The 12,480-nt window shown below is 42.6% G+C and overlaps 1 protein-coding gene across 36 annotated transcripts in view, besides 3 other annotated features; it reads right to left on the bottom strand.

Moving 5' to 3' along the window:
• Positions 1–12,480, bottom strand: part of GDA (guanine deaminase) — a 145,262-nt gene that overhangs the window by 108,214 nt on the left and 24,568 nt on the right. For 32 of the 36 annotated variants that reach the window (XR_001746423.3, XR_007061376.1, XR_007061377.1 and 29 more), the window contains exon 1: positions 1,974–2,216. The exons of the other annotated variants lie outside the window; for them this stretch is intronic. Coding sequence is in view for 19 of the 32 variants with exons in the window: in XM_047424099.1 (XP_047280055.1) it covers positions 1,974–2,096 (123 nt within the window). In the remaining 13 variants the exon portion in view is untranslated. Of the gene's footprint in view, positions 1–1,973; positions 2,217–12,480 lie in introns of those variants that run through there. 36 annotated transcript variants of the gene reach the window in all.
• Positions 1,516–2,015: an enhancer, noted in NCBI's record as "H3K4me1 hESC enhancer chr9:74764557-74765056 (GRCh37/hg19 assembly coordinates)". NCBI's record gives its function as "activates a minimal SCP1, AML or CMV promoter by ChIP-STARR-seq in naive H9 embryonic stem cells {active_cell/tissue: H9 hESC(naive)}" and the evidence as "EXISTENCE:reporter gene assay evidence [ECO:0000049][PMID:30033119]".
• Positions 2,016–2,517: an enhancer, noted in NCBI's record as "H3K4me1 hESC enhancer chr9:74764055-74764556 (GRCh37/hg19 assembly coordinates)". NCBI's record gives its function as "activates a minimal SCP1, AML or CMV promoter by ChIP-STARR-seq in naive H9 embryonic stem cells {active_cell/tissue: H9 hESC(naive)}" and the evidence as "EXISTENCE:reporter gene assay evidence [ECO:0000049][PMID:30033119]".
• Positions 4,226–5,425: an enhancer, noted in NCBI's record as "MED14-independent group 3 enhancer chr9:74761147-74762346 (GRCh37/hg19 assembly coordinates)". NCBI's record gives its function as "activates an origin of replication core promoter dependent on BRD2, BRD4, P300/CBP and CDK7 cofactors, and independent of MED14, by STARR-seq in HCT116 cells {active_cell/tissue: HCT116}" and the evidence as "EXISTENCE:reporter gene assay evidence [ECO:0000049][PMID:35650434]".

The raw sequence follows: 12,480 nt of genomic DNA, 5'->3' as shown, positions 1-12,480 counted from the left end.
AGCCTGGGTGACAGAGCGAGACTCCATCTCAAAAAAAAACAAACAAAAAAAAACCAAAAAAAAAATTACAGATCATAATAATTCAACATATTTCTGTATTCCAAAGGCGTATTATTTTCTTTTTTGAACCTTGAAATGTTTAAATAAATAATATATTTATCCCAGCAACTCTAAAAGTAAGATACTCTCCATTTTGAAATGGGGGATGTCAAGTTTTGAAATATGTATGGCATGCTCTCTCTTTAAACACAGCCAGGTATCAACTGCCTTGCACCTAGGAGGAGAGGAGAGCAACAGTTAGCAATCCACTGGTTCAGGAGCTCTGTACCATACATTCCAGCCACTGACTAACTCACCTTTGTATTCAATTCCTAAGTCATTTTGTCTTGTGGGGGAAGGGCATGTTTTCTAAATTTATAACTTCAGTATGATTTTTAGTGAGGAATAGACTCCCTGACTCAACTACTAATTGTGTGTTTGGGAAACTCTTTTATTCTTCTTCTGTACAAGCACCAGAAAAGGTATTTTTATTACTTCCTTTTCTTATTCCTCTCCACTGGTAAAACCAGTTGCCTGTTACCCTACCAATTACAATTCTGGATATGGGAAATTAATTTTTAAAAAAGAAACCCAAGAGTTGAACAGCTTCTTGTGATTAAAATAACACCTCTAATCTTACACCAGTTTAGCAATCTCCGTTCCTTTGCTTCCTGGGACTTGCCCCAAACCTGAGTTCCCTGAAACTTGAGGACCAAGTCCCCAAGCATGGGTTCATCAGTCTCAGGGTTTACCGGAATCTCCCTGGGAGAGCTCTGAGAGTTTTATCACCTTGGAAACACAACAGCAGGCTCCCTGAACGTGCATAGAAAGAGTATTTTTTAAAGCACCATGAGAAAACAGTGTTTAGTTACCCCCAAATGTAAGAGTCACGATTCAAAACTGTCACCGACTCGGTAGCATCTTAGTCAAGAATAGTATCTTCAACTTGACAAATCACAAGTATGTGTACTTTTGCTAACCAAACCAGTAGTTGGAAAACAGCTCAAAAAATCCCATCTCCATATTTATTTTATCATTTTTTTGTTCTAAAAAATGGAATGGCTTCACTTATCAAACTTGCCAGGCCATGGCTGATATAGTCACTATATGTGTGTATGGAACAGTAAATAGTAGACATCAAGTTACCTGTGTCATTTGTAGAAATCCTGATTTTGGAAAAGGAAGTGTAAAAGATACATTCAAAGAAGACATTTTGAACCTTAAAATGGAACTGCTTGCTTTGATGCAAATGGCTATGGTGTGTGTGTGTGTGTGCGTGCGTGTGTGTGTGTGTGTGTACGCGTGTGTGTATAAGAGAGAGAGAGGAAGGAAAAGAGATGGATGAATTATTTCTTTCGGACCATCCCTTCTAGTATTACAAGTTGTGGAACCTTCATCGTTAGTATATTATCTCTGTTGAATGATAGGGTGAATGTAATCAGTTCTATTTATTCTATGTTCTGGACACGCTAAACAACATCAATCAAATGACCCCCTCCTCTTATTTCTTTCACAATAAATTCAACCACATTTATGGAGAGCCTCCTGTGCCAGGCACAGTGCTAGGTGTTGGAAACAAAGATGATTTAAGCAAGATTGAAGATTATTGCCGGTATCTTAGGATTGGAACGGGGGGCGGGGGAGCGGGGGGTGACATCCTTGCTCCCGGCTCTACCGCAGCCCGGACTGCTGTCGAGCCAGTTGTGGCGTTAGCACGCCACTGCTCCCGACTTCTGGGAACTCCCCAGCCAGCCCACGAACCTAGCGCCAGGGTTCTCTCTGCGTTGCCCAAGAGCCAAAGACTCAAGTTCAACTCCGGAGCCGCGGCGCTCACTGCGCACCGAGCGAACCCCGGGCTACGCGAAGCACCGCGCCAGGTTCCTTGCACCTATCCTCCCGCCCGTCGGAGTGCGCTCGACCCCGCGCCTGCTTACTTTGCCGCTGTCGCTCACGCCGAGGAGGTGATCCCGCAGCACCTCCATGGGGCAGGTCCAGGTGGAGTGGACGAACGTCCCTCGGAAGATGTGCGCCAGGGGCGGCATCTGAGCGGCACACATGTCAGCGGCGGAGCGCAGCGCGGGTCTGCTGGTCGAGGAGGGCGCACGCGGCGGAGACGCAGCGGGACTCTCTGCAGCTGCGGGCGGCTGCCGGGCGGACACAGGCTCCGGCCTTGTCCTGCCCCCGCTTACCCGGGCGGTTGCCGGTACCCTGCAGGCCGCGCCCAGGGGCTGGCTCCCTACCTCCTCAATGCCAATAGGATTTTTCTCCCGCGAGTTGGCTCCGCGCTCCCGTGGGGTGTGGTCTTTCTCTCCACCCTTGCGTTAGTTTTGGTTGTGTTAACTCTTTGAGTTATCAAGATCAACCACAGCTGAGGCTCAGAAGATCAGCTTCCTCCACCTTCTATGAGTTGTGTCAGCCTGGCTCCTCTGACCCTTCAACTCCTAGGATCACTTACTTCTTCAACCTGTAGCACTCAGGTCCTGTACTTGCATTAGTTCAGGCACAGGTGAAAGGTCAGCTGGGGCTGCCTACCTTATGACCAGTTTCATTTTTAGTTTATGTAGACTGCAGAATTAGTATTGGTCCTCACCTGGAAGGTTCTGGAAGCATGTCTTACCGAACATCTCTGGGGACCCCTAAACTGGGTGTCATTGTGGACGCCAAGGTTCCTCTCTTCACCTTGAGGCTAATGTTTTTGGTTCTTGTGTTTGTCCGCAAACAATTCCAATACCAATTTTTCTCGTGTAAAATGAATGAATCTCTTTTATTTACTTCCAGTTGTACAAAGGGAGAAAATTAAGTTCTCAAGTCAAATAGGCAGCAATGGTACCATGGGTGCTGAATTGGGAATCAAGAGACTGTGGACAAGACACGTGGGCCTCAGTGTGCTTATCATCCCCACTTATGAAAATGGAGCTTGGACTGGGTCATAACTAGGGTCAGCGTTCCCACCCTACACAATGACCACAGGGTCCTTCACTAAGTTCCTCCATGAAACCCAGCTGGCTTCCATTCAGGGCCCTCTAACGTGCTGTTCCTTCTGCCCCTAATCCCTCTTGTGGCGCTTTACTTGGCAGCTCTTCTCACCACTGATTTGTCTCAAATGTCAGGCTCTTCGGAGTCACCTTTCCTGACCACCAAGTGGCACCGGACTCCCAGCAGTTTCTACTCCACTAATCCATCTTGTTTCTGCCATTGCATTTATTGTGTCCATTCTTCTTTATTTTGTGTTTTTTAGTTTACTCCTGTTTCCCTCTCACCAATACACACACACACACACACACACACACACACACACACACACACATACACACACCAATAACAGAAGCACCACAGGAGCAGGGAATGTGTCTTATGCCTAGAACAATGCCGGTGTTCCATACATGTTTATTGAATAAATGAATGGATGGTTTTTCTGTGAGCAGAGCCATAACCTGAGACAAATAACTATTTTGACAACTACATAAAGGGTGAGGGTTTCATTGCAGTGTGTGAGCAGTTTTTCTCTGAATTGCTGCTTTTAAGACACAGGGCTGGCTTATAGAAATGATTCGTTCCCTTCTCAGTTCCTTCAGCTCCCCCATAACCAATGTCTAAGGTGACCAACAAATCCTGGTTTACCAGGCACTTTCCTGGTTTTAGCACTGAAAGGCCGTTCAGGAAAACCGTCAGAACCATGCACACAGATGGTTGATCACCCTACCAGGGATCCAGAATTAGGAATCTCTGCAGCTGAGGTCATTACACTTGTCCCTGCTCCTTGTCACTTTCTCCTGATTCTGCCAACTGCACTCCCTCCTGGCAGTACCGACAGCCAGCACACTGAAAACATTCCCTTGTATACACAAAAACCTCAGACAGAAAGGTGAAGAAAATGGCTTTTGAGATAGGATTCAATCAGATGTTTCCAACAGATGTATTACTTTCCTAAAACAGATACGGTTAATAATTTTTTTGATGATTAGGTTTTAATGAAAACCTAAATGTCAAAAAAAAAAAATAGAGACTAGTTTTATGAACTAGAATATATCTACTTGATAGAACATTATACAGTTATTAAAAACAACAGGAGAAATATATAGCCACAATGTTAAGCTTTCAAAAATGGCTTCTGGCTGGGCACGATGGCTCACGCCTGTAATCCCAACACTTTGGGAGGCCGAGGCGGGTGGATCACGAGGTCGAGATTGAGACTATCCTGGCCAACATGGTGAAACCCCATCTCTACTAAAAATACAAAAATTAGCTGGGTGTGGTGATGCGTGCCTGTAGTCCCAGCTACTCAGGAGGGTGAGGCAGGAAAATTGCTTGAACCCCGGAGGCGGAGGTTGCAGTGAGCTGAGATCACGCCACTGCATTCCAGCCTGGTGACAGACCAAGACTCGGTCTCAAAAAAACAAAACAAAACAAACAAACAAAAAACAGCTTCTATGCTACGATGAAAACCATGAAAAGCTATAAGCATATTTGCTGGAATTGAAAAGGTACATCAAACAATGTGTGTTGTTCTGTTGAGATAATGGAATTGCTAGGTAGAGAATTTTGTTTTGATTTTTTTAATGTTGTTACTATGTGGTTTATAGGATGAATAATCATTATGATGCTTTTAAAGAAATTAATCGTCTTAAGCAGAAGGATTGGCCATGAACCTCCAGGTGACATGGCATTAGTGCTCCTCAGGTAAATTTTAGCTCTTTTGAGCAATGCATAGTTCCACTTCCATTCCCAGTCAAGTTGTAGGTACCTGGGCCCAGGATCCAGAAGCCCTGGGTGCTATACTGCCAGGCAGCATGGCTCAGCCACATGCCAGAAGTCTTGGCTTCCCAGCCAGGCATGGTGGCTCATGACTGTAATCCCAGCACTTTGGGAGGCTGAGGAGGGCGGATCACTTGAGGTGAGGAGTTCGAGACCAGCCTAGTCAACATGGTGAAACCCCGTCTCTACCAAAAATATAAAAAATTATCCAAGTGTGGTGGCGCACACCTGTAGTCCCAGCTACTAGGGAGGCTGAAGCAGGAGAATCGCTTGAACCCGGGAGGCAGAGATTGCAGTGAGCCAGGATTGAACCACTGCACTCCAGCGTGGGCAACAGGGTGAGACTCCACTCTCGGAGGTGGCAACTCCTTTAAATTGCTGGTCCTCCTGCAATTTTGACTCCCATTCTGGTATCCCCAGGGAAATATTCTCCTGGCTACAGAGGTTTGGAGGAAAGAGGGAGTACAGAGCTTTCATATTCACCCTCAAAATACAGCCCAAGCATCATTAGTGCTCCACCCCCACATATCACTTCCTTCAGAAAAAAAGAGCCCCGCCTTGGCATGGAATATTCCCTGGCTGCTTCTTCAGGCTTGGCTACCTCCACTCTCCCATATGCTATGAATCCGCTTTGCTCACACTCTTCTCTCTGCCTGTGGTGCCCTTTTACCACCTTACACCATGTCTGCCTCATTGTCCCACCCACTCCCCCAACCCCCAACCCCCCCTCACCTTTATCCAGGATATCTTTACATTTCTGCTCTAGAGTGTTAAGTGTTCCTCCCCTGAGTTTGTGGGTGTGCTGTAATTGTTCCATTACTCATCTATACCCCAAAGAAGATGTGTTTTTCTGAAGGACCATGTCCTCTTTCTTTCTGTGTATCCATCCCCTTAACACAGTCCCTGGTCACTAGGAGGTGCTCAATAGATTTATATGAATATTGAATTGCAGGAGATGGCTCTAGTGCCTATATTTTAGTCATAAAAATTAAGAGGCTATAGTGGGTGTCTGCTAATGGTGAACAATTCATTGGGACTAGAACTTAAGGATGAGTTTTATTTCATTTATTTAGTTTTCCAACATTTTATGAGAATGTTCAGACATAGAGAAAAATTTTAAAGCTTCATTTCTTACAATCTCAATTTTCTCTATTTCAGATGGAGCCAAGTAGCCCCCAAATTCCCCAACTACTGGGGTGGGATCATCGTGTTCTAAACCTCCAATTGCCTGAGGCCAAAACCTAGACCATAGCATGATTAGCTTTGACATTTTGCTCATCTCATGAATGTAATTATACCTGTAGCTTAGTCAGTCAGTCCTTTTTGCTAGATAGAACCTGACTGTTTGAAAAGGCTTTCTCCTCTATTATCTAATTTTGAGCCTCTCAACAACCCTATAAAATAGGAAGAGGATGTATTTTAAACATTCCACAGATGGGGAAACTGGGGTTCAGGGAGGTTGGCTTGCCTGTGCAGTTAATATAGGATGGACTTGGATCTTGAGTCCAGTTGTTCTCATACATTGTCTCATCACAGTAAACTCCCAGGAATTGTTCATTCAGTTTTGCCATGACTCACTTGGCCACTGCACTGTGGGCTGTCATCTACAACTTTCACATTGTACATGGTTTTCCAACAGTTGCTGGTGACACTCAGATCTAGCCTGCAGTAAAACTAAAGGGAATAATGGGCCTTGAGAAAAACAGGAATCCAATCAGCGTAGGTCAGTAGAATGGGCTATCGAAAATAACTCAGGTTTTCATGAGGTACAGAGAGTGCAGGGAAGCAGTTTAAATGAGAGGCCACTTTTCCTCTCTTATCTAGGAGAGAAGTTGTCATTGTACAGTGAAATAAATGCCTGCCTATTTTATTTATTCTTTTCATGTAGCTAAATCTATCAGTTTCCATGGTGCCCTGTGCTCACCATGGAAACTCTGACAAGCTTGTTATGCTTTAGAGAAAAAAAAAAAAAAGATACACCAAAAATTTGAGATGGGATAAATGCGTTCCTTTTAAAACTGTGTGTTCTTCTGAGTGGGAGGCCTTAATGGATAGCAAATCATAATGATCTCCATTTTCCAGTTCTTAGGTGAGAACCCAGGTTTGCCTATCCATAGAGGCAGCACCCTCGGCCCCCCAAAACTACTTTATCTGTATAGTGTAGTTATGCCAGTGAGTATCCCACCTCTGTATTTACTGACAATAGAGAGATGGCTCAATTCATATTTTGTCCATTTTTATGAGAATATAGTGCTAGTCCCTATAAATATTCTTTAACAGTTTGTTCACTTAACAAATATTTATTGGACATCTATATTATGATAGGCACCATGCTAAGCACTGTGGGTATGACTGTATGAAACAGATATTGTCTTACCTATATGGAACTAATATATTTTCTCTCTGCCACCTCTAGGAGTAGAAATTAATAGCTTTCATAGTATTACTGTAACATTTCCCTAGCATAATTAGTGAATGTCGTATTATTATATATACTACATGTCAAATCTTAAGTGATACGAATATAATACAAGGCACTTAACAATTGATGCTGAAGTGACACATTGATAACAATGCTCTAGTATGCTATTTGATATTACTTGTTTTAAAGAAGTCTATTGTTAATATTATTAGTATTTTGAGGTAGAGTCTCACTCTGTTGCCCAGGCTGGAGTGCATTGACACCATCTCAGCACACTGCAACCTCTGCCTCCCAGGCTCAAGGGATTCTTCTGCCTCAGCCTTCCCAGTAGCTGAGACTGCAGGCACCTGCTACCATACCCGGGTAATGTTTGTGTTTTTAGTAGAGATGGGGTTTCACCATGGTAACCAGGCTGGTCTCGAACTTCTGGCCTCAAGTGATCCATTCTCCTCAGCCTCCCAAAGTGCTGGGATTACAGACATGAGCCACTGCGTCTGGCCAGAAGTCTATTATTTTTAAATAGCTCCTATATTACTCTTGAAAAATCGGCATATGTTTATTTTATAAGATTTGAACATTTAAAAATACCGTATCTCACTATCCAGATATATTATCACCATTAGCACCCTTGTGGTTTGTTTAGAAAAGTTCAAATATAGAAAAGACAAAAGATAGTAGCCTAGAAGTTTGTAGATGAGAAAAGTAGGGAAGAGGAAAGCTACCTCTTCTTTTTAGAATAGCAATTAAGTTTGGAGAAATGCATACATTTTACCTGAATTTTATAGAAAAAGGGAAAACAGAACGAGAGGAATGAGTTGCAACTTGACTTAGGTTTTATGCCAGACAGGTGCAGGGAGATATTTTTCTGGCTGGAAGGTTTTAAGTAGTATGTAGGCAGCTGTTTCCATCACCTACTCATACTGCTGATCCCTCAAATCAGGTAGCACGTTAGTAAAATTTAGCTGATGCCGGCTTCCTACCATGACAGCAAGCTCAAAGCAAATATTCTTGGGCCGGGTGTGGTGGCTCATGCCTGTAATCACAGCACTTTGGGAGGCCTAGGCAGGTGTATCACCTGAGGTCAGGAGTTCGAGACCAGGCTGGCCAACATGGAGAAACCCTGTCTCTACTAAAAATACAAAATTAGCCGGGCATGGTGGTGCATGCCTGTAATCCCAGCTACTCGGGAGGCTGAGGCAGGAGAATCGCTTGAACCTGGGAGGCGGAGGTTGCAGTGAGCCGAGATCGCGCCATTGCACTCCAGCCTGGGCAACAAGAGGGAAAATCCACCTCAAAAAAAAAAAAAAAAAATTCTTGACCTGTGTTATTTTGTGTACATTTATGCTCCAACATGGATTATAAAGGTATTCTAGCCAGGTACAGTGGCTCATGCCTGTAATTCCAGCACTTTGGGAGGCCGAGGCAGGTGGATCATCTGAGGTCGGGAGTTCGAGACCAGCCTGACCAACATGGAGAAACCCTGTCTCTACTAAACATACAAAATTATGCAGGAGTGGTGGCACATGCCTGTAATCCCAGCTACTCAGGAAGGCTGAGGCAGGAGAATCGCTTGAACCCAGGAGGCAGAGGTTGCAGTGAGCCAAGATCGCGCCATTGCACTCCAGCCTGGGCAACAAGAGCAAAACTCCGTCTCAATAAATAAATAAATAAATAAAATAAAAGGTATTCCACTTTTACTATCAAGGGATAAGCAATACATACAATCAATATCTATAGGTTCCTATTCCAGCTCAGTCACAAGCCAATGATATCTTGGCAAAGTCATTCTACTTTGGGCCTTGGTTTCTTCATCTGCAAGATGAAAGGTCACCTGCTATCACTGGTTCCGTACTTCTTTTTTTTTTTTGAGATGGAGTCTTGCTCTGTTGCCCAGGCTGGAGTTCAGTGGCACGATCTCGGCTCACTGCAAGCTCTGCCTCCCGAGTTCACACCATTCTCCTGCCTCAGCCTCCCGAGTAGCTGGGACTACAGGTTCCCACCACCACACCTGGCTAACAGGATGGTCTCGATCTCCTGACCTCATGATCCGCCCACCTCAGCCTCCCAAAGTGCTAGGATTACAGGTATGAGCTACCGCACCCGGCCAGTTTCCATACTTCTTTATTCCCAAGGATTCATTTCCTTATTCCTGCTACTTACATACCTTAAGTTTTACATTGTATCAAGAAAACTAGTACAAGACAGAAACTCAATAAAAGCTGTTAAATGAAAGATTTCCCCACTTCTCATTCATCAAAGACCAAAATAACTACCAATCAGAACTTCTGATGAACATGAACTATCTAGCATGTCGAGTTCACATAATTCAAATCAAATGCAGGTCTAACATTTTACTTAGCCCATGCAACCTATCTCAAGTTGGACAAATTCTGTTAAACCTTTGTGAAAAGTTAGAGACTCAAGAAACAGCTTGAATTTGTTGAACAATCCTCCTAAGCATCCTGGGACTCCAAGTTGATCAATATTGAAGTAGAGTCGGGAAGCCACTGAAATGATTTCACACATTTTTGGGAGCTACTTTGCCACTTTTCTGCTTTGAGATAGAAGAATCTATACATCTCTAATGTGCCACATTGATAACTGAGACCTAGGGCATGAAATGAATCCTATTAGGCTCTCATTCTGGGGATCTCAGAGAAGGATTGGTTTTTCCCAAGGTTATTAATGTGCAGCTTAACTGGTTTGAGCTGACCGTGGATCTAAAGTGAAAAGACGCTTACCTCAGCTAACAATGCATGCTAGCCGAGGTGCTGAGAGTCATTGCATGCATGTTCCTAGACTCCATGTTCCTGGAAACCATAATGAGATTGGACTCCACTCTAGCAGAAAGCCAAACATTATCATCCCTACAGATGCTACACAATTAGTGCCTCTTTAGATAGGTGTAAATTTCATACAGAAAGTAAAAACCAACTGAAGCTCAAGTTAAATTGTCATAACAATGATTTTAAGGAAAAAAAAATTCTAAGGAATTCTCACAATATTATTTAAATAGGTAAAATTAAACTTATTTGAAAAACTATAAATGAGTGTCAAAACTTCCTTCCTTTGTGTATATTTCTAAAGGGATGATTTTTAATATTATATATAAATGAAATTTACCATTTATGTAACACTCTTCCATATAAAATGCAAAACCCACTAACTATAGTTGTGAGAAGAATCCAGCCCTAATAAGAAGGAAGAAACCATCTCTGAGAAGCAATTTTTGTTATTGCTTTTAGAAGTGTGGTTTGTGTTTTTGGAATTCTTTGTGGAATGGCATATAATAGGGAATCAGTAAATATTAATATTAGACAAATTAATGCTAAGTTATATATAATAAAACTCCAGTTCAGAATCACTCATTCTCCCCCATGGAGCATTAAAATTGCCATAGTGTCCATATTACCAAAATATGCTATGAAATGAAAAACATGTGATTGGGATTTGGAGCATGTGTAAGTTCAGACAAGGCTGAAAGTGACAGAAAACCTCAAGCGATCCTCCTGCCTCGACTTCCCAAAGCCCTGGGATTACAGGTGTAAGCTACTGTTTGGCCTGGAATGACTCTTCTCACTTTTATTTACAGACTTTGCTTCCCTTAGATCTCAGACTACAGACTACATGGATTCAGGTCAGAGGTGTGGTCACCATGACTTAGAAGAATGGCATTTAACATTTTGGTGCCGTGAGGTATGTACTTCCTTTTAGTTAATTACAGTCATTTCCAGATATGGGACATTTTGCTATACTTATTTCAATGGAGAAATATTTTAATGGCCCGGAACACATAATATGACAACATCAATTTTATCATTAATATGTATAATTTTTACCCATTCCTCATGTCATCCTAAGATTGATTACAAAATCAATCAAAAACCAGCTAAAACTCTGCAGTCTAAATGGGAATGGGAATATATTGTTTTGCATAACAACAACAACAATGAAAAATCTATGGTCACACTCTTTCTGGCAGCGCAGCTTTGTTGTAGGTTCAATCACTGTCTACAGCACCCAACTTCTCTCTCTGCCCTCTTTCCTCCTCTTTTCCCGCTCTTCCCTTCTCCTTCTCTCTTCCACACAGACTCCATTCTCTGACGTCTCCCTCCTCATGATCACAAGGTGATGACAACAGCTCTAGACTTTATACTCTCAAATTCAGGTGAAGAAAAAGCGAAGCGACCTTTCCCAAAAGTTTCAGAAAAATACAAAAACCAAACTCATCATCTTATTTGCCACAATAGGCTGATATGCCCAGCCCTAACAACAATAACAAAAGCATTATAGCCGGGGCAAGGTGACATGTGACACTCTGATCTGGGTCTCATGCCCCATCTGTTAGTTAAGGAGCAGGTAGGTGAGGAAGTACAGGCACTCAGGGTAGGGAACGCGGGGTTCCCTAGAGAACTTGGAATATAGTGTCCAGAAGAAGGTGAATGGGTGCTGGGCAGCAAAAACAGCAGGTTTTTATTAGGGTGTGGTAGGTACAGGCTTTTGATTAAAAGTTACCTACAACTAACTGATAGGCACAGATATAATTAGAAATATAACCCGCATAAATATTGATAAAATATAGTAGAATACATGATGTAAGTTAAATAGTTATTGCAAGATGCTTTCATTTTCCTCTCAAAACAAAACCTTATTTTGTGCCTCTTATGAGTAAGATGCTATGCATTGTGTAGGATATAAAACTGAGATTCCCTGCCCTCACACTAAGAATCACAGGAGGAAGGGTAAAAAGATGAAATGAATAATGGAGCATTTTTTTTTATTAGAGGCGAGGGTCTCCCTATACTGCATGCAATCTGGTCCCGAACTCTTGTCCTCAAGTGATCCTCCTGCCTCAACTTCCCAAAGCCCTGGGATTACAGGTGTAAGCTACTGCACTTGGCCTGGAATGACTCTTCCCATTTTTATTTAGAGACTTCTCTTCCCTTAGATCTCAGACTACAGACTACATGGATTCAGGTTAGAGGTGTGGTCACCATGACTTAGAAGAAAGGCATTTAACATTTTGGTGCCATAAGGAATGTACTTCCTTTTAGCTAATTACGGTCATTTCCCAGTATGGGACATTTTGATATATGTATTTCAATGGAGAAATATTTTAATGGCCCAGAACATATAATATAACAATGTCAATTTTATCATTAATGTGTATAATTTTTACCCATTCCTCATGTCATCCTAAAATTGATTACAAAATCCAGTAAAGCTGCATTTGACCAACTACACCAAAATGCTTGGTTCGAACA

The sequence above is a fragment of the Homo sapiens genome, chromosome 9 (assembly GCF_000001405.40).
Source record: "Homo sapiens chromosome 9, GRCh38.p14 Primary Assembly".
Classification (NCBI taxonomy): domain Eukaryota; kingdom Metazoa; phylum Chordata; class Mammalia; order Primates; family Hominidae; genus Homo; species Homo sapiens.
This window is presented reverse-complemented; position numbering and strand designations above follow the sequence as displayed.